At 33.9% G+C, this 23,373-nt stretch overlaps 1 non-coding gene across 1 annotated transcript, besides 1 other annotated feature; it reads right to left on the bottom strand.

Annotated features, from left to right (window-relative positions):
* Window positions 1–1,677: 1,677 nt before the first annotated feature.
* MIR2113 (microRNA 2113) lies at window positions 1,678–1,768 on the bottom strand. Its single transcript, NR_031579.1, has one exon. It is a non-coding gene; the product is annotated as a microRNA 2113 (primary transcript).
* Window positions 10,866–12,223: an enhancer, noted in NCBI's record as "VISTA enhancer hs567". NCBI's record gives its function as "enhancer in: midbrain (mesencephalon)[8/10]" and the evidence as "EXISTENCE:transgenic organism evidence [ECO:0001131][PMID:17130149]".

Here is a 23,373-nt window from a genome sequence, read left to right as displayed (position 1 = left end):
TGAACAATCACTACAGTATGCACTTGCTTGTGTGGCATTCTCAGATTTTGGTTCCAAAGAGATAAGTGACATTTTATGTTGAGGGCTCAACTCTACATACATCTGTTTAAACCCATCTCTAAGGGAAAAAAAAACCAAAAACAAAAAAACAAACAAAAAAAAACACTTGAATTTCAAAAACATATTATTTATTATTTTGACTTTTTTCTTTGCTAACACAGGTAAAATGACTAAAGTCTAAATTAATTGATTCTAGCCAGGTGGTCTCTGAATTCCTTCCAGAGAGTCAAGTCTATGTATTCAATGACATTACGGAGCTGAATACCATAAGAAACTATCCTGTCTCTCACAGTTTGTCTCTAACTTTCAAAAAATTTCTGTAATTTGAACTTGAGCTATCTGGTCCTTGAGTTTGGATATGGACATTCAGAGAAATATACAGAAATTCAAAGGCCATTGCTCTGTTTTCTGGTTAGTTTTATCTGACTCAGTAGCATCTTTTCTCTTTAACATACACACACACACACACACACACACACACACACACACACACACATTTATGATCAAAGAAATGCCAAAAAGTATGCAGATGTAATATAAGCCAATCATCTAAATGTTTAAAAAATATACAGATGTTAGATTTAATGTAGATAAACCATCTGGCAGATCTGCTTTGTTTTTTACTTTTTATCCAGCTGTTGGATTCTGTGGAAGGACAGCCTAGGTCTATACTTAGATGCGCAAAGAAAATGATGTCAGATGTATATTGCTAGTCCTCTGGAAAACACTTCCTATTCAATAGGTTGTAGGCACCATTAGTGTTCTTGAGAGAGAAAAACAGAAATTCCATAGAGAAATGATTTTTATTTGGAACTGCCTACATTAGAACACATTTCATGGACTATGTTTTTTCATTAATGCATCCTCTTAAAATAATATAGAAATTTAAAGTAAGAATATAATTCCTACTAGCAAAATTTCCATATTCACTTTGACAGCAAGTTAATAAATATTTACTTCCAGGGAGCAAATCATCTTTGGCAGGGTGAAAAAGAGTGCTGCATCAAACCAGGACCAACTTAGAGACCAGAAGATGTTCTACCAAATACTTGTGTCCCTCTTCTAATATCAGCAAACTCACATGTGATGAGGCACCAAAATAAGAAACAGAGGTGGCCCATCAGTCTTTAGGATTGAAATTTGTTTTGAGTCCATTTTATAAAAGTTAAAGACCTCTAGGCTTAATAATTGGGTTTTCAAAAATTCACAACTAAAAAGAAAAACCTCTTTTTCTTTCCAGATAGTGTATATTCTTTTTCCTTAAAAAAACCTAACTACATATTAAAAGGAAAAACTAACCAACATAATAAATGTTACTTCTCTCCTCAATTTCTGTGATTTTTTTTTTACATATTCGGAAGTCATAAGAGGTAAACAAATCTCCTATAATGAAGCAGTTGATGGCCAGTGAAAATGAATGGATGCAGCAAATATTTTGTTAACAATAACATAGCCACAAAATCATAGTACATATACAAAACTCTTAAAAATTATTAAAGGATGCCATGAGATAAAGCAGGAGAAAAAAAACACTGGTGAACAAAAACAATCAGATGCTCTGGAAAGAGTAAGGAGAAAAAGATGGGCATGAAAATTTATAGACAGTTTGAGGGTAGGTTTTCAAAGTGGCATGTGACAGAGCCAAGCACAAATCCTCTTACTTATTAACGGGATTTGTCCCTGTACCTGTCACACATTGCTTTGAAAATATCTGCCTCTGTGAAAGGTATACTGCTTCTCTCCGTCAGTTTTACTCTTAAGAGACTAATGTATAATCTCTTTAGGTTTCATCTTTTGTATTTCTGTGCATATGACAAATTGTTTTGAACACTCTTCATCCATACACATAAGAAAGTAGGCACTAAGGGCTTATCACTGCATATTTAAAAATCCCTGAGATACTATTTTCCTCATTGGAAATAATTGTTCTATTAAAATAATCTCTGGATTTATCACTGAAGAATTTTCAACTAATGCATTCATGTCTTGATGCCGTGAGGCAATTGTTCTCAACTTTATCTGATCCAGTTCCTCCTTTTTATAACAAATACTTTGTAACCCGTTTACTATAACAAAATGAAATTCATAGATATTATAACCACTTCAAGAATATCATAGAAAAAGTCAATACAATGCCCCAACTATAAAATAAAAGAAATAAAAAGAAACAACTTTGTAATATTAATAAAATAGTATATATTTTGAAATGTAAATATTCTAGCACTGCCACATAATGAAGACATGAAGTCAAGTGCTGATACATGTGCACAGAATCATGATAAATTTGCAAAGGCATCAGCCACTAATGCAAACTAAAGTAAGATTGTTGTATTGATGCAGCAAACACCATAGAGTTGCCATCAATGAACAACAATTGGTAAACTTCGAAATAACAATTTCCAATTAATTTATGAGAGAGTTTGATTTCTGAAAAGTTCATTACATATTAAACAATGTAAAAAATCTTCTAATTCCATGTAAATGAAAATAAAATCAAAGTGTGGATAATATTACATAGGTTTTTCAACCACATGAATGTCTGATAGGATACTCAAAAGTTCTGTGAGCATAGGAGAGTTTTTCAATGAGAGCCTCCCGCAAGCAAGCTGCAAATGTCTATCATCCCTTGACTCCACCCAGGAGTCAGTGGTGGCCCTGGCTCCACACCATGCAATTTTTATAAAAACCTAATACATCCCTGCAAGTTTCCAAGGTTTTCTTTAGGGTGTGATACTCCTCCCACTCCGTGAGAATCACTGTGATAAGATTACAAAGAAGGAGAATTATAACAAATAATGGTACCTGTACCTTTTTGTTTTTATTTCGTTTTCCCTTTACTAAAGTGAGGCAGAGCTTCACTTTAAAAAATCCATCATGCAACTGACATTGAATTTACATATTTGTGGCAGCAACACTCAAAAGAGTCTTCTCATCATAACTTTTAGTTAAAAATAAATGAACTTAGCACATGTATTAGGAACATTTGAGTGAAACTTACTTAATGGAGTATCACACATGATATGTTTGACTACTTAACTTTAAAATAGAAGAATAGACTTTTTCTTAGGAATTACATTCTATACACATAAACCATTTATCCAGACATGCACAAAAAAATATAATTTGTAAAGCAGAGGAAAAAAGGAGATGCAGAAGGAATATGGGAAAGAAAAGAAATAATGGTGAAAGCTGTTGTTTCAACGGAAAAATAACTTTGCACATGACATGATATGATGCTAGATTTATTATTCCATTTATCCATTTATCCTTAAAACAAACCAACCATAGACATTTACCTTAGAAATATAAAGTTGCTTATTTCTGTGCATACAGTTTTACAGAACCATGGATTGATGGTTTCGTAAGGTATCAGTCACACTTCCATAGCATTTGCTGATATAAATATAAAACCTTCATTTTAAAGGATAAATAAAGCCACACTATTATCTAAACAGGGTAAAATTTAACATCCTTGTGGTTTGTGGAAATTTTTGATGTGCCTGCTGGCTTTTCAATAAAAATCAATTATGCCTTAAATGCGAGCGGTAGTCAACATACTACAGACTATAAATTCAATTTCATACTCAGAAATATGGATTAGCTGAACTTGATGCCCTTCCATTGATTTCAGAAAGCAAAAGCTGATAAGGTAAATAATAGTAAGAGGCTCTCTGACACTCCACATCAAGTTCCGGATTTCCATATTATTTTTGTAGAATTCTGCAGTCACCACAATATCCTCCTTGTGAAATATGTATGATGAATAGATATTATATGGATTGCTGATTCATCTCCCCATACAGAATGGATATTTGGCTTTCATAAGTCAAGACAAGAACTGCACAGAAAAAAGAATATGCTTATTTCTCTAGGCTTACTGCAAGGTGTATGTCAACCGATCGTGAACAAATCCAGTGGGTAATTAGAACACACGGATTAAGCACTGAGATCCCACCTATAAATAAAAATTGTATAAACCAGGAGCAAATTGATATGCTTCAATTCTTTAATGTTTTATATGTGTGTGTATGTATGTGTATTTAGGTATGTATGTTTTTACATATATGAGATGGGGAGGGAGGGAGAGAGACAGAAAAATAAGAAAAGCATTTTTAAAAACTGAAAAACATCCAGTCTTTATGTTCATTCAAAAGAGCACCTTAAATTGGCAAGAATCTCATGGGGGAATCTTGAGAGGAGAGGAGAGGAAATAATTTGGTACTAAGGAATCTAAGGAATAATGATCATGAGGAAGAAATTTAGAGTAGTTTTTAGCATAATGGGAAATCCAATCACATCTGCAACAATTTTCTCCTTTTCTCCTTTAATGTGCAGAACATTTAGGTTTTATAGAACTGTTCAAGTCCACACTTTGAGCATTTTATGGCTTAGCCATTCTCTTTTTCAGTAAGCCTGGTGTGCTCAGCTTAAATCCTAAAGAGTTCTATAGAATATTTCATACACAGGCCCAGTCTCACCTTCCATCAAAACGAGTTCCTGCTTTCCTAACACAAACAAGGATTGCTTTGTCACACATCCAGAATGCCAACAGAGCAAAAGTATGACTCTTATTAGGTCAAAGATGTACATTCTTAAAAGTTCCCTGCAGCTTTCCTAGATGCCAGCATTTTGGAGATTTCATATAATCATTTTGGTAAAATCCATGGCCTAAGGTCTCTGCTATCTCAAAGAAATTAATTACACATGAATTTCTCAAGACAGAGGTAATTGACTTAAATACATTTATAGGTTATTTATTTCACTGAAGTATACTTATTTTTATTAAAGTATGCTAATCATGAAAGCAAGCTGGATAAAATCTTATAAATACCAAATGGGACACATCCTAAGGAAAATATTTCCAATGGTAAGTAATTTTTATATATTCATCCTTATAGTGTCTGTTAATCACTACAATCGTTTTTGAGAAAAGTGGTAACAGAGTTGTTGTGGATTCTTTTCACAAATAAGAAATTGTTTATATAAGAAAAACATAAAATCACAATAGGAATGGTACAATCTGATTTGTTGCCTTTTCAGTTATTTACTTGTCTGAGAAAAAAGTCAACAAGCATTTCTTTTCTGCAAATCTTAGAAATCTGTGTGCATGTATGTTTGTTTATGAATATACTTCTTTTCATAAGAGGGAATATAAGAGCAAACACATTTTCACCAATGTCTTTTCAATCTTACTTAAATTTAGTAAACAATATATATAGAAATTTTATTTTTCTTATACCAGTATACACTCAAACATCTGTAAAACATAAAGTTTCTCATAAATATGTACTATGTAAATTATAAAATTTTAAGTTTCAGTGTTTGAAATGAACGCTATCTTTGAAACCCATGTAATACAAAAATGCCACAACCAACAATTTTCATCATATGTTGTAACGGTGAATGAAGCCTATGAGGAAAAAGGCATCACACTGTTTATGAAAAAACAATTCTTGTAGATACACTTGGAAAACTGCAAACATTCATAAACAGTTACTCTTTGGGGATAGAGAAAAACTGCCATTAAACAGGTGTTAGAATTTAAATGACATCTCATTAGTGACTCCTTTTTGCAGCTCAGAGACAAATAAAACCTTCATTTAAAAGCATTAGTGCTATTCCTTAGGGTTTCTGGTATCATAATGTTTTGTTTTATGAAGATATTTAGTTTCTTCCAGCATTCTTGCTTATTTATACAAAATAAACCAATTGCATTTCTAAGTTTAGCTGAGTGTGAATTCAGGGGGTGAATAAGGCCCTTCCAATTGCTGTAAATACCCTTGCCCCTCCCTCCATTTCGGTGAGTCTGGGAGGTTGAAGCACAGCCTGATAAACAAAGGCATTTTTGAGCTTCACTTCCAGGCAGAGATTTAGCCCTTGCGTCCTTTGCCCTCAATTAAGGAACAGTCATATAAAACTCAGATTTTCTTGATGTCAGAGCCATTAACTATTTTTCCAATTGCTCTCAATGCAAAATGTGAAGCCATCTCTATAATTCAAGAATTATACCAGAGCATATAGCTATTAAAAATTACCTGCTAATTGAGTTTATCCCACTGCCACTATAGACTATCCTCACATAGACAACTTCAGATCCCAAAATGTGAACCCCAAGATTAGCACACAGAATGCAAGTCTCAATAGACAACCCAGGATTATAAGAATTCATTCATCTCATCATTTTGAAAAGTGACACACTCCAAAATTTAATTCAGCTGTCCGAGATCCTTGGAATTCAATTCATTGTAATTCTATACTGTATTTGGAGAAGTATCTACTAAGACAAACAGTGAAGAAACAATAAATTTCAAGTAGTTGCTTGCCATCAAATATGATAATTATTTTTCAGCACGACTGAGGAATTGCACTGATATGTTTTGGAAATACAAAGATAATTAGAACAGATCTGGCTCAACAAGAGCTTAAAAATGGAGCAAAGTTGGTGGTGAAAGAAGGGATAAGACAATCTACAAAGTTAGTGAAAAAAGAAGGTGTAAGACAATTGCCATATATCTATAATATTATTAGGACTATTGAACAGTTAGAAAATGCAAGGGGATGACATTCACAGAAGAAAAGATGACGCTGTATTCAGAGAGTCAGAAAAGGGGGTGGCACTTTAAATGGATTTTATGGGTGGGGATGATTTCATGAAAAGGGTAGGCCTGTGAAAATACAGGTTCTGTTCAAGGAATTTTTCAGGGGATTAAACTGGCCACGATATAGATGACCCTGAGTGCTAGGCAGAGTATCATATCTTGAATTTATGAGGGATAAGGAGTCTTTGAATCTTTTGAGAAGGAAAGATGAGAGGTCAAAGGAAAATGAGAAGTTAAATGTGGGGGAAATCATTAAAAGGCTGATTTTAGTGCCTAGACAAGAAGTTTGAAGGATCCATTCAGGAGATTAGTAGTGTGAAAAATAACAGTAAAGAGAAGTTATTCAAACTGTAGAGCTAGACTCTACTGAATGTGGCAAATGATTGAAAATAAGGAGTAACACATGACTCTGAAGACTCAACTCTTGACTGGCTCCAAGCAGAAGGAGGTGCTGGTTTAGAGGAGAAGTAGGAGGTGTTTTGGACATATTGAATATGAGGCATTAGCAGAGAATCTCAGTAGATAATGTCTGTTACATTTTCCAACTAAAAGTTACATTTTCTGTGGTGTTGTTCTTCAATATATTAGATTGTAGGATAATTATAGTGTCACAGCTTACACAGAAGGATTGAGAAAGAAGTCAGTGACTCCTGACCTAGAGAAAATCTGAGTTTTATGTGACTATTATTAATCTAATATTTAATGATAAAAGTGAGGCTGGAGATAGAAAATTATCTGTGATAGATTTGCCAGTACTCATCTGCATAGGGATGAAACCACAGGAGGCAAGAGGAGAAAATACAGAGATAAAAAACAAGTAAAAGGCAGAATCATGGAGACACATACACAAGCCAAGCCTGAAAACCTGAATTCAGTTTTACAGTGGACTAGGATGTATTCAATTATTGTTTATACATTTGATGAATACAAATAATATGAAATGATAAAATTACATATGAGCATTGCTTATTAAAATAATTGCTAAATATATCCCAGTTGATTTTGACAAGGTTATAACACTGGGATCATTTAAAATTATCATTGAATTCTCCTTCAATCACACAGCTTAAGCAAAATACAGGGCCCGGGGAAAAAAAAGGGAAGAACAGGGAGCCAAAGGCAGTTTAAACACATTAATTGACATTTATTTGAAAAGACCAAGTTGCAGGCTGTAAGAAAAAGAAAAAGAAAAGGATGTTTTAACTGAAATCAGCTTATATTATAAAATACATGACCCTTTGACCTAAACTACTCTAGGATAATTCTAGAACAGCAGAATATAAATATGTGTATGTGGGGCATTTAAAAGAGTCCCCTTTGAATATGATGAACAGATAACGCTTTCTTGTTCATTGGCTTTATTCTAGTACTCATCCAAGAAATGAATTTAAGTTTTATGGGAAGAATGAAATCAAAGAACAGAGAAAAAAGGTACATAATAAAATGCTTTGGACACCTATAAACACCAGGTAATTTGGTCTTTGTACTATGGTTAATGCTGAAACAGTGATTCATCTTACCTCTCTTGAGCTTCCTCCAGCTACATCTTACCTCCCTCCCTCCCCTTGCTACCTCATGGGCCATTTACCTTTAGCACCATCTCCTCTCAATACCAATTCACAGGTAAACCTGATCTCTGTTACTTACATCTTTACATAAGTTCAAGTCAACATGTAACTACTAGGCCTCATTCACTCTTCTGTACAGATTAAATGAGATGGTAATAATTGTTACAAATACATTGACATCTTTGGTTTACTATATCTTTCATATATATTATTTCACTAGATTTGTAAATCGTGAATTAGAAAAGAGTAATTCTGAGGCCATTTGCAGTTTGTCTTTTTTTTTTTTTTAGATTTTGATTATGCCTAATTGTCGATTAAAAATCTTTCCCAGGCTGAGGTGGGAGGATCACCTGAACCCAGGGAGGTCAAGGCTACAATGAGCCATGATCACGCCACTGCACTCCAGCCTGGGCAACAGAGTGAGACCTCGTTTCAAAAAATAAAATAAAAAAGAGAGAGAAAAAAAATCTTTCTGACTTCACAGAAATATTTGAGGGATATAGAACAAATGAAGATGTTTCATCAGTAGTGGGAATGATAGGGAAACCCCTAAAACCTCTCACACAACCCAAGAAACTGCCTGTTCTAGCCACCATATCTGTAACCAAGCAGCCATTGGCATGAGAAGTCCTACAGTGCGGGGGATCTAGAGCTCTGTAGCGGTTGCCAGAGCAGACTGTCCCCTATTTGGGTTAAAAAAAAAAAAAAAAAAAAAAGAAGGTAATTCTGCAATACAAAGTTAAGCATCTCATGGCTTAATCATAATGGGATTTGTCCTGACTGTCTTAAATTTCTCCTTCCTTAATTTCTTCTCCTTGGCGGGAAAATCTTAATTCTTTAGTTTTCTTGCCCTTTGTTCTCCATCTTCCTACCCTGACCCCTATCAATATCTTTACTTAACTGGCTCATTTATGTTAAGTTGTAAATGATGGTAACCTTAATGACTTGCCTGGCTTTGTGACCACAAAGTCTTCTCTACCAAGAGCCGAGACCTCTTGATCCTCAGTCCAGGCTCTAGGCACTGGAACTAGTGCTAGTTGGACAGATTTTAGGGAGCCTTCTCTCCTTAGATCTGACAGGCTGTCAGATCAAGCTGTCATTCTGTCGGTTGTTCTCTGACCTTGTACTTTTCTGTGCCCAAACCTCCATGTAAGCCTCCTTTTCCAGGATCTGGGTCTGGTTAGTCCTTGCCCTTACACTGGTAACATTTTTGACACAGGACAATGAGTTACAACTTGTAACCTCACCGCTATGAAAATTCACTCCCAGGCTGTGGCCTGGTCACTTGCTCCCCTTATCTCTACTCTGTCTACTTATCCTCACTCCTATTTACAAATAAGAAAGTCAGATGCCAAGAGGTTATGTAACCTGATCAAGGTTATTTAGCTAACAGGTGTCAGAGCCAAGATTCAAATCCAGATCTGATGAACTGTAAGTCCATGTTCTTTTCCCCACGTCCCCAACTCACACACGCACTAACGATGTTTCCCCCTGAAAAAGATACTTTTCATGACAAACTGCAAGAACCGGCATCACAATTCTCAAATAAAGACAAAATAAACGTAAACTAGAAGATTAGACATGCAATAATATTGCTGCAAAAACATAGATAAGCTTAGGATCTCAGGGCATTTAATTCCATAATTCTCCTTCACACAGCTTTTTCCGAAGACATTGAAGTCCTACTTTAGAAATACTTAGAAAGCTTTTTTTTCACATTTGAAAATATGCACTTTTGTGAAGAGCTAATTTCTGACATTATTCAATCCTTGTATTTCACCCCTTAAGATTTGTTTAGATATGATCAAGTGTATTTTTAAAATATTAATATAAAGTCACCTGGGTATTTTTCTTATTAGAGATTTTCATATATTTCCATACATCTGTCTCAGTTTTACCATAGAAAATTATTTTCTGAAGTTTTCACGTATTTTTTCTCATACACAAGAAAAAAAAAGACCCCAAATAATTACCAGTACATTAAAAATTCTACACACTCTTAGATGTAACTGGTTTCCTCCTTAATTAAAGCATTGCCCTGAGTGTTGGGTGGATGAGAGTCCCACCTGAAATGAAATACTGGGAGACAGAGTGCTTTCTCCATTAAAGAAGTAAATTCAGAATAATACCTTTTACTGGGTAAAACTTTTTAATAATCATATCAAAGGAAATAAAACTTTTTGTCTTTTAAAAATAAAATTCAGTGTCTCATTTCATTGATTTTCAATAAATAGTTCTAATATAGTTGTCCAATTATGTGTTGTAAATAAAATTAAAACTATAGATAAGCAGCAAGGCAGGCAAAAAATCACTAAATTAAAAATATGTCTGAAGTCGAATTCATCCCAAATTCTCTCTTATTAATAAACTGTTTTGTATTCTCTATGAAAACATACACAAGTGCAGAACTTTAAGTTTCTTGTAATAAGAAAAAATAGTCAAAGTTCTCACTTTTTATTTTTAAACTTTCTAAAACACTGTTAACCCTTCTCATTCATATTATCTAATAATTTCCAACTGTTTAGAAATATTATGAGAAACTTCCCCTACAACAACAATAATAACAACCAGCTTTCTAAGAAGCTAAATTGTTTCATCACTTTTGTTTAAATCACAAATGCATTCCTCAGGAACGTTTGCATTCCATGCCTTTGTTGTATACTCCAGGCAACCAAAGTTCTTAATTTTGAAACTGGTATGAATATTCCTTGGTATTATACCACAAATAAGCAAAGATCCATTCCAAGCAGGCTTTCTGCTTTTTCTCCCCCTTTCTTTCTTCCTTTTTTTTTTTTAAAGGGGGGAAAACTGTTCTATATCGACAACCATCTGTGAGCCTGTCTTTCAGGCCATCAAACTCTCCCATCCATTACGGAGCCTTCCTCACCTCCGCTACATGACAGCACAATAAAGATGACATACTAATTCAATGACTTGTAATTTCAGTTAAACAAAGACAAGTGCTGCAGCTTCTTCTTTTGTGTTAACAGTGCCATATCGGTGAAGCCAGCTATGCAAACATAGCACTGGGAGGGTTTTATGACAGCAGTTGAATGGGGAGACTGGCTTGGTGTTGCTTTTTATGGTTTTTGGCTCCATAATTTTTGGCTCTGTGCTGCTGGCCATGGCTATTGTGTCTGGATTCTGTGTCAGCAGCAGCTAATTGTTCCAATAATGTTTATCATAGGGATCCACCAGGGAGCTGTATATGTGGAGATAAGCTACAGGGCAATGATACACACTATCTTACTGATCTCTATACACAGTGCTTTTGCCTCATGCCAAAAAGCTTTTTAGGTTTCCAGTCTTAAAAAAAAAAAAAATAACAGCTTAATCATCGTGCCAACAATAGTGTCTAAGGGGATGTAATCAGGTTCCTCTGATAATCTTAGCAACACATGAAAGTCATGCGCAAAAGCAGTAATTGAAGCAGTTGGTTCATTCTACCACCTGCTGTTGAAGTCACAGGTTAATCTAAATGAGGTCCCCTTCCGATGAAGCAGTATGCAAGGCACTTTTTATATCATAAATGTGCATTACAGAAGCTTTACAAAATAATAAAGTAACAGTTCATTCAATGAACTGTATGAAGTATCTTAGGCTTGTCCAGCTTCTCCCACTGCTATTAGATGGCATATCCAAGTGTAAATTCTGTCCACATGTCTATACCCCAATGCACACTTCAGTTTGCATATGGTTGCAGACAATGGGAGTTCCTGAGACAGATGCCCAAATGTAACTAAACGTCAGGCAATCACAGGAATCAGCTGCAGGAAAGTGAAATATTTTTCTTTGTCTGCTTTTGATGCTATTTCCCCCAAGATTACTAAATAGAATGTTGACAATGTAAAAATAGCTTTAGAATCAACAATTAAGCAGCTTGCCATAGTCTACATTAGCCCCATGTATAAGGGATGAATTTTTCTAATTAAACTTCTGACACCTGATTTCCATTTAAAATTTTCCTTAAATGTTTTCCATAAAGTCTTCATCTGACAAAAAATTCTGAAATTATGTAGTATGTTGTTCTTCTAATAGGCAATGTCTTTAACAAAAGTGATTTTTAAAAATCGTGAAACTTGTCAAAGTAAGATTCTAAGGGAAATTTTTAAGCATAAATGACACTTTCAGATTAAAACTTGTGCCTGATTTTAATCTATTTCATGAATACACCATTTATTGAGAACCTACTCACTGTCAGATACTAAACCAGGTAACATTATTTTATTTGGGTTTCACATCCATTCTCAGAAAACGTCATTATGTCTGGAAAAGCTGAGAAAGCCAAGTTTCAGAGAGATTCATAATAATCTAAGTTCCTGGGCTAATAAGTGGCAATGTTAAGATAGGAAACAAATTCAGCCTGAGTTCAAAGCATGCATGTATTCCACCAAGATAAACTGAAATAATTCACTTAGTATAAAAGAAAGTTAAGAAAAATGTTTGAGTAGAGAGAGAAATTTTAAGTTAGTTATCCACAGTACTATGATAAAAGAAAATAAATTTGATTTATTTTGATTTTTTAAAATAAGTCATGTTTACTAGGATTGGCTTATTACTGGATTTAGTAGCCTGTGTGTGGGGATGAAATAGACATTGTTATAAGACCAGGAACAATTTTCAATAAATTGAAAATAGAACTTCATTAATTTAACCTAATTCGGGAACACAAGATGATATTAAATAGTTAACAGAGTGATTATAATATTGAATATACATAATAAATGTTTGCCAAATTTTTCATAAATGAATGAAGTAATGAAATAATATTAATAAATGCAACCATAGAAGCTTCTGTATTTAGGAATGCTTACCACATGCCAAGCAACATCTTAGTAGTTCACATGTGTTTTGTCTTGCATCTTCACACCAATCTGCTAAATCTGGAATAATTATCTCCATTTTACAGGTGATGAAACTGAGGCTCTGAAATCCTAGATCACTTGTTCATGGTTACATTAGCAGGAAAATGGGAGAATGAGGATTTGAGTCCAAGATAATATGATGACTCAAAGCTCTTGTCTGGACATTAATAAACACACTTGAAAAATTAAAATTATCTTTGGTTGTCAAAGATGCTTTACATGGCCTCCAAGGATAGCAGCCCTCTGTCCACAGAAGTACTCAGAAAAATCACATTAAACATCATAGGAATAATTTAGTTCAGGCATTTGGTAAACTTTCTTTACTGCTGGAATGTGGCACTAAGGATTATTAAGAGCTGGAATGTGGAGAAGGCTGGAGGATATTCTTTGAATATTCTAGAGATCTTTGAAAACAAATTTTATTTATATCTGTCTTGATAATTTTGCATGGAAGCTGGAATAGTAATGTAGATGATTTTCAAAGGTATATGTAGGACAAAGTTCCTGTAACAATTGGATGCAAACTCATCTAGAAGTTCTTTTGTAATAGATAATAAATCAGTTGAAGTCTACAAACAACAACAAAATTGTCTCCAGCTTTCAATATCACATTGAAGAATGTTTTATGAAGTCACCTATCATAAAAGGTACATTTGTGAACCTTCAGTATTAATCTTCTATCAGTTGAGGCCTGAAGAGGATTCATTATGGCATTCTGTTTGGATAAATCAAAACAAAAACAAAGAACAAAATGGAAAGGTAAAACTCTTTCCCCTAAACAGCTTCTTTTGGAGAAGTTTTTGTTTGTTTTCCTTTTCTATGATATAATGTTTTCATATACAATTATTTCAATATACCTGCCACTACTTTAAAACAATTAGCTCATCACTTAAAGTCCACTCACCTATACCTACAGTTACTGGAATAGAATAAATTATGAAATTTGCACAGAGGTTTATCTATAACCAATTCCTACCAGTCCTTTAATATGACCCTTTTTTAAATCACACTTTATTTGGTCTGCTTAACTGTAATCTGTTACTGGAAATATATGTTTGACAAAATGTATAAAATAATAGTCTGTCATTTTCAACTCTTTCTTTTACATTTAAAACTAAACATATTAGCCTTTTAAAATACTACTAAAATTCAGGGCTTCTGATTTCTGGTTCTGCATGGAAAGCACTTAGAAGTCATCTCTCAATCTTGACAAATAAGAAACTAAACAAAATGAAAGATCAACAACTCTCCTTAAATCCGTCACAGAAATGAGGTCACAGGACAAACCACTGCCCCCAAATTGGAGTGAAAGTTAGACAAATGCAGAAAATCACAATTTACCTCGGTATAAACCCATGAAAAAAAAACAAGCATGAGAATCAGTAAGGGGAAAGGAAAGCCAGAACTGTAATTAATAAACTACTGGATGCTCAGTGAGGAGAAGTCTGAGAGTTAAAAACTCCAGGGTGACCCAGTCTTAGAGGAAGTCACACATTAGCTCCACCTCCAGAATCTTACCAGGTCCTCACAGTGAATATTAGAGAAAAATTCCCTTGTGCTTCTAGCAGGAGGAGGGGAAAAGAAATCATTTTAAAACATGTTAGGTCATTCTGTTCTTCTTAAGTATGCCTTAAGAAGGAAAGTTATCAGATATAAAAAGGGTCATTGCATAATTTTAAAGGGTTCAATTGTCATAACAATAACAATAGCATAACAAGACATAACAATCCTTAATGTGCATGTTCCTAAATACAGAGCATCAAAATATATGAAGCAAAAACTGAGTGAAAAATAAGGAGAAATAGGTTAATTATTATAGTTGGAAAATGTAACACCCTTGTATCAGAAATGGAAAAATTCAGGAAGCAGAAATTCTTCATGGACATAGATGAATTTAACAGCATTATCAAGCAACTGGATATTATTGACATCTCTAGAATGCTTCACTCAACAACAGCAGATTCTTCTCAAGTTCATGTGAAACACTGACCAATATAGACCACATTATGGGACATGAAATACACTCTAACAAATTTAACATAAAAGAAATTATATGATGCCTTCTCCCAGACCAAAATAGAATTAAACTAGAAATTAATGATAGAAAGATACAAGGAAAATCCTCAAAGACTTGGAGACTAAACAACATATTTCTAAATAACACATGGTAATAAAGAAGAAAAGAGAGAAGAATCAAATAGATGCAATAAAAATGATAAAGGGGATATCACCACCAATCCCACAGAAATAAAACTACCATCAGAGAATACTATAAACACCTCTATGCAAATACACTAGAAAGTCTAGAAGAAATGGATAAATTCCTTGACACATACACCCTCCCAAGACTAAACCAGGAAGAAGTTGAATCTCTGAATAGACCAATAAAAGGCTCTGAAATTGAGGCAATAATTAATAGCTTACCAACCAAAAAAAGTCCAGGACCAGATGGATTCACAGCTGAATTCTACCAGAGGTACAAGGAGGAGCTGGTACCATTCCTTCTGAAACTATTCCAATTAGATAGAAAAAGAAGGAATCCTCCCTAACTCATTTTATGAGGCCAGCATCATCCTGATACCAAAGCCTGGCAGAGACACAGCAAAAAAAGAGAATTATAGACCAACAACCCTGATGAACATCAATGCAAAAATCCTCAATAAAATACTGGCAAACCGAATCCAGCAGCACATCAAAAAGCTTATCCACCATGATCAAGTGGGCTTCATCCCTGGGATGCAAGGCTGGTTCAACACATGCACATTAATAAACGTAATCCAGCATATAAACAGAACCAACAACAAAAACCACATGATTATCTCAATAGATGCAGAAAAGGCCTTTGACAAAATTCAACAACATTCATGCTAAAAACTTTCAATTAATTAGGTATTGATGGGACGTATCTCAAAATAATAAGAGCTACTTAAGACAAACCCACAGCCAACATCATACCGAATGGGCAAAAACTGGAAGCATTCCCTTTGAAAACTGGCACAAGACAGGGATGCCCTCTCTCACCACTCCTATTCAACATAGTGTTGGAAGTTGTAGCCAGGGCAATCAGGCAGGAGAAAGAAATAAAGGACATTCAATTAGGAAAAGACGAAGTCAAATGGTCCCTGTTTGCAGATGACATGATTGTATATCTAGAAAACCCCATCATCTCAGCCCAAAATCTCCTTAAGCTGATAGGCAACTTCAGCAAAATCTCAGGATACAAAATCAATGTGCAAAACTCACAAGCATTCTTATACACCAATAACACACAAACAGAGAGCCAAATCATGAGTGAACTCCCATTCACAATTGCTTCAAAGAGAATAAAATACCTAGGAATCCAACTTACAAGGGATGTGAAGGACCTCTTCAAGGAGAACTACAAACCACTGCTCAATGAAATAAAAGAGGATACAAACAAATGGAAGAACATTCCATGCTCATGGGTAGGAAGAATCAATATTGTGAAAATGGCCATACTGCCCAACCTAATTTATAGATTCAATGCCATCCCCATCAAGCTACCATGACTTTCTTCACAGAATTGGAAAAAACTACTTTAAAGTTCATATGGAACCAAAAAAGAGCCTGCATTGCCAAGTCAATCCTAAGCCAAAAGGACAAAGCTGGAGGCATCATGCTACCTGACTTCAAACTATACTACAAGGCTACAGTAACCAAAACAGCACGGTACCGGTACCAAAACAGAGATATAGATCAATGGAACAGAACAGAGCCCTCAGAAATAATGCCACATATCTACAACTATCTGATCTTTGACAAACCTGACAAAAATAAGAAATGGGGAAACGATTCCCTATTTAATAAATGGTGCTGGGAAAACTGGCTAGCCATGTGTAGAAAGCTGAAACTGGATCCCTTCCTTACACCATATACAAAAATTAATTGAAGATGGATTAAAGACTTAAATGTTAGACCTAAAACCATAAAAACCCTAGAAGAAAACCTAGGCAATACCATTCAGGACATAGGCATGGGCAAGGACTTCATGTCTAAAACACCAAAAACAATGGCAACAAAAGCCAAAATTGACAAATGGCATCTAATTAAGCTAAAGAACTTCTGCACAGCAAAAGAAACTACCATCAGAGTGAACAGGCAACCTACAACATGAGAGAAAATTTTTGCAATCTACTCATCTGACAAAGTGCTAATATCCAGAATCTATAATGAACTCAAACAAATTTACATGAAAAAAAAACAGACAACCCCATCAAAAAGTGGGTGAAGGATATGAACAGACACTTCTCAAAAGAAGACATTTATGCAGCCAAAAGACACATGAAAAAATGCTCATCATCACTGGCCGTCAGAGAAATGCAAATCAAAACCACAGTGAGATATCATCTCACACCAGTTAGAATGGCGATCATTAAAAAGTCAGGAAACAACAGGTGCTGGAGAGGATGTGGAGAAATAGGAACACTTTTACACTGTTGGTGGGACTGTAAACTAGTTCAACCATTGTGGAAGTCAGTGTGGCAATTCCTCAGGGATCTAGACCTAGAAATACCATTTGACCCAGCCATCCCATTATTGGGTATATACCCAAAGGATTATAAATCATGCTGCTATAAAGACACATGCACACGCATGTTTACTGCAGTACTATTCACAATAGCAAAGACTTGGAACCAACCCAAATGTCCAACAATGATAGACTGGATTAAGAAAATGTGGCATATATACACCATGGAATACTATGCAGCCATAAAAAATGATAAGTTCATGTCCTTTGTAGGGACATGGATGAAGCTGGAAACCATCATTCTCAGCAAACTATCACAAGGACAAAAAAACAAACACCGCATGTTCTCACTCATAGGTGGGAATTGAACAATGAGAACGCATGGACACAGGAAGAGGGAACATCACACACCAGGGCCTGTTGTGGAGTGGGGGGAGGGGGGAGGGATAGCATTAGGAGATATACCTAATGTTAAATGACGAGTTAATGGGTGCAGCACACCAACATGGCACATGTATAGGTATGTAACAAACCTGCACGTTGTGCACATGTACCCAAAAACTTAAAGTATAATTTAAAAAAAAATAAGTAACACATGGGTCAGAGAAGAAAGCTTAAGAGAAATTTAAAAATATTTTGCACTAAATGAAAATTAAGATGCAAGTTATCAAAATTTGTAAGATTCAGCAAAAGCAGTGCTTAGAGGGAAATTTATAACATTGAATGTGTATATTAAAAAAGAAAAGTTTTAAAATCAATAATCTAAGCTTATAATTTAGTAATGTGGAAAAAGAACAAATTAATTCAAAATAAAAGAAAAAAGTAATAATAAAAATAGAGCAGAAATGAATAGAATTTAAAACAGTACATCAGTGAAGAAAAGGAACAAAACCAAAAGCTGTTTTTTTGAAAAGATCAACAAAATTTTTAAGTCTCTAGCCAGGCTAACTAATGAAAGAGTAGGCATTACTACAGATTCCATAAACATAAAGGGATCACAAGGGAATATTATGAGCAAATCTATGCCTACAAATTTGATATCCCAGATTAAATAGACCAAATTATTGAAACACACAAACTGCCAAAACTCACACAAGAAAAAATGAATATCTCTGAATAGGCCTATATCTATTTAAAGAAATTGAATCAATTAATAACCTTCTAAGACAGAAACCACCAGGCTGAGATGGATTTAATGATGAATGCTACCAAACAGCTAAGAAAAAAATTACACCAATTTTCTACAGTCTCTTCCAGAAGACAGAAGCAGAGGGAGTGTTTCCTACCAAGGAGTATGAGGCCAGCATTATCCTAATATCAAAACCAGAGAAAGTCATTACAAGAAAGAAACAGCAGACAAGTATCTCTCATGGACATATGTGCAAAAGCTCGAATATTGCCTCAGAAAATATTAGCAAAGCAAATCAAACAATGTAAAAGAATAATGATGCACCTAGAACAAGTGGGTTTTATCCTAAGTATGCAAGGCTGGTTCTACATTAGAAAATCAATTAATGTACTCCATCACATCAATGGGCTAAAGAAGAAAAATAAAGTGATCATATCAAAGGATGCCACACCCCTGTATAATATCGGAGAAAATGCAACACCCGGTGTATCACAAAAACTCTCCACAAACTAGAAATAAAGACAAACTTCTTCAAGTTAATTTAAAAGAGCTATAAGATAATATAGCTAACATTGCATTTAATGGTGAGAGACTTTAAGCTTCACTTCCAAGATTAGGAAGAAGACAAGGATGCTTCCTCTTTTCAACATGATACTAGAAGTACTAGCTAATGCAATAAAGGAAATAAAAAGCATACAGATTGGGAAGAAAGAAACAAAACTGTCTTTGGTCACGGATGACATGATTGTCTATGTAGAAAATCCAAAAGAATTGACAAAAGAAATCCCACTAGAACTAATAAGCAGTTATAGCAAGAATGCTTAATATAAGTTTAACATACAAAAGTCAGTTGCTTTCCTCTATACCAGCAATGAATAAGTGGAATTTGAAATTAAAAACACATTACCATTTACATGAGCAACCCCTCAAAATAAAATACTTAAGTATAAATAAAATAAAATACATATAATATCTATATGAGGAAAAGCACAAAATGATGACAGAAAGCAAAAAATTAAATGGAAATATATTCCATTTTCATGGATAGGAAGACTCAATATTGTCAAGATGTCAGTTCCTCCTAACTTGATCTACAGATTCATTGCAGTCCCAATTAAAATTCTAGCAGCTATTTTCTATTTTCTGTATATTAACAAATGGATTCTAATGTTTACTTGGAGAGGCAAAAAACCCAAAATAGACAAAATAATATTGCAAAGAACAACAAAGTTAGGGGACCAACAATACCTGACTCAAGACTTACTTTACCACAGTAATCAAGACATGTGGTAAAAGAATAGACAAATAGATCAATGGAACAGAACAGAAAACCCAGAAATAGTCTCACAAAAATATAGTTAACTGATTTTTGGCAAAGAACAAAGATAATAAAATGGATCAAAAATAGTCTTTTCAACAAATGGAGCTGGGACAAATGGAAATTTACATGCAAAAATAAATAAATAAATAAATAGATCCTGTCACAGACTTTATACCCTTCACAAAAAAATACACTTAAAATGAATCATGACCCTAAATGTGAAAAGCAAAACTATAAAACTTCTTGAAGATAACATAAAAAAATTATGTCAACTGGGGTATGGCTTTTTAATAAAACACCGAATGTACGATCCCTGAAAGAAATACTTCATATATCTGGACTTACTTAAAATTTAAAACTTCCCTCTGCAAAAGATACTGTTAAGCAAGTGGGAAGACAAGCTACAGACTGGGAGAAAATTTCTGCAAAGGACACAACTGATAAAGGTCTGTTATCAAAGATATACAAGATATTATAACACTCAATGATAAGAAAACAATTTGACTCTATAATGGCAAAAAACCTGAATAGATTTTGCTTCAAAGAAGATATATAAATGGCAAGTGAGCATAGAAAAAAGTGCTTCACATCAATATGCCATTAGGGAATTGCATATTAAAAGAACAATGAGATACCATTACACACCTATTAGAATGGCCCATATCCAAAACACTGACAATACCAAATGCAGACAAGGAAGTGGAATAACAGCAACATTGCTGGTGGGTATGCAAAATGATACAGTACTTTGGAAAGTTTCTAACAAAGCTAAACATTCTTTCACCATATGATCCAGCAATCATGCTCCTTAGTATTTACCCATATTAATGGAAAAGTTATATCCACACAAAAACCTGCAAATAGACATTTATAGCAGTTTTATTTGTAAATGCCAAACCTTCAAAACAACCAAGATGTTCTTCAGTAAATGAGTGGATAAAAAACTATGGTACATCCAGATAATAGAATATTATTCAGCAATAGAAAGAAAAGAGCTACCAAGCCATGAAAAGACATGGAGAAAATATAAATGCTTCTTACTAAGTGAAAGAAACCAATTTGAAGAGGCTACATACCATATGATTCCAATTATACAGCATTTTGGAAAATTCCGAACTGTTGAGACAGTAAAAAGATTAGTAGTTGCTAGGGGTTGGGGAAGAAACTGGTGAACAGGCAGAGCACAGAGAATTTTTAGGGAGTGAAAGTACTCTGTATGATACTACAATGGTGGGTACACTTCATGTCATTTTACATTTGTCAAAATCCATAGAATGTACAACACAAAGAGTGAACTCTAATGTGAATTATAGACTTTAGGTACTGTGTGTCAATGAAGGATAATCGATTGTAGCAAAAGTACCACTCTAGTGCAAGATGTTGTGGGTGTGTGCAGACAGGGAGTCTAAGGGAACTCTCTATGTACTTCCCATACAATTTTTCTGTAAACCTAAAACTGTTCTAAAATATAAAGTCTATTAATTATTTTTAAAAGTAAAGGAGTTTAAAAAATATTAATAGAAAAAGAAATCTCTCCCTTAGTTATCACGCAACCTAGGTAAAATGTAAATCAAACTGCATCATTCTCCTGCTGAAAACCTCTTAATGACTCCCCACTGCTTACCTGAGCAAGCATGGTACATGCACCTTCAGTATGACCTGAGATGATTTAAAGTGCAACATGGATAAACATTTTCTAAATTTTAATTGTAATGTACTTATTGTAAAGTGTATTACAAATATAAAACTAGAATAACAAAAAAAGTAGAAGTTGAATAACCATTTGCTGATTCTCTTAATCAGGCTTTTAATTTTCATGCAATGGTATCCCACACATTGCTGAATAATCTTTTAACAGCTCAGTTTCCTTATAAAACATTCATTTTCTTCCCTTAATATCTATGATAAAATTAGGGGTATTTTGTGCTACTAAGGGGAGAATTTTAACCACGTGAATGTTAAGGCAGTTAACATTTTTAAATGATCTAGGTTATAGACTAAGTTCCACACAACAACATAAAATGTTTTATAGTGCTCAAAATATTTAAAATGATTTAAAATAATCATAAAACAAGCACAGCAGCACATAAAAATATATTAGACTGACAAAAAATAGAACTTTCTTATACTTGGTAAAATCAAATTAAAACTTTTACTTTTTAGTCAGCCTTTAACAACTCAAATGCTTAAAGAAATTATATTTAAGGTAATTATATATATATAAATGAAATACATTTATTTTATAAATAAAATATATAAATGTATATAGCTAGTGTTTATATAAATATAAATCTTATTTATATATAAATAAAATTATGTATATAATTTTATATATATCTTTTTTGTAATTTTATTATATCTTTAATTTATTGGCTTTTTGCTACTGGTTTAACTGTAATAATATACATTGCTATGCAGTTGTAGCATAATTTTTCCCTTGCATGGAAAGATAGTAGTTACTATAAGAAAGGTTAAAATTTCCAGTCCTTGCAAATTTGAAACGACTGGAAATTTTAGAATTTGGAAAGATCCAGAAATGAGAGAAACAGTTCCCTTCTTTCATCGCATGATAGTATTGTTAAATAAGAGGAGACTCCATCCATTAAGGAGTATAAAATCATTCCTAACCAAGGTGAGCAAAGTACTGACTGGTCTTAGATAATAAGTGGTTATGAAATAATTTTTACTTCATAAGAACACTATTTTACTTTTTCTTCAGCTTCTATTTTGGAGCCTATGTCTCTGTCCTTTCATATATGCACTAGACTAAAACAACAGAAACGACATCAGTGTCCCCTTCTTATCCTTGGCACAGAGCCACATGATCACATACACTACTACATAGTAGATAATTTAATAAAAATGCACAGAAACAAACACTTTTAATTTAAAATCTTTTACAAATCTCTTTTAAATCTGTCAATTTTATACATATCTTGTTTCTCATTAAGATGCAACAATGGTAAGATTGCTTTATATATACCATTATGATGTCATCTCTTATACATATACATATTACATATGCAGTATATAAATCTTTCAAGGGGAATCACAGTCGTGACCCACAATATTTCACTGATGTTTTAACACTATGTGTATAAAAGCTATGCTGAATATACTAGTCCTTGATTTTCCATTACATTAAATGTATGTAGTACACTACTTTTCTTTGTCTCAGCCCCAAGCTTGTTTAAAATGTGTCTCCATTTTGATAGTTCTTCAATTGTGCCTCTCTTTTTCATGGGAATAATTTCAAAACAATATTTTCTGGGTGTTAGATTTAAGTATTAGTCCCAATTCTGCACCCTTCCCTTCATTCGCTCTCTTTTCTATGTGAGTTTA

The sequence above is a fragment of the Homo sapiens genome, chromosome 6 (assembly GCF_000001405.40).
Source record: "Homo sapiens chromosome 6, GRCh38.p14 Primary Assembly".
Classification (NCBI taxonomy): domain Eukaryota; kingdom Metazoa; phylum Chordata; class Mammalia; order Primates; family Hominidae; genus Homo; species Homo sapiens.
The sequence above is the reverse complement of the archived record's forward strand: the minus strand, read 5'-3'. Positions and strand labels throughout refer to the sequence as shown.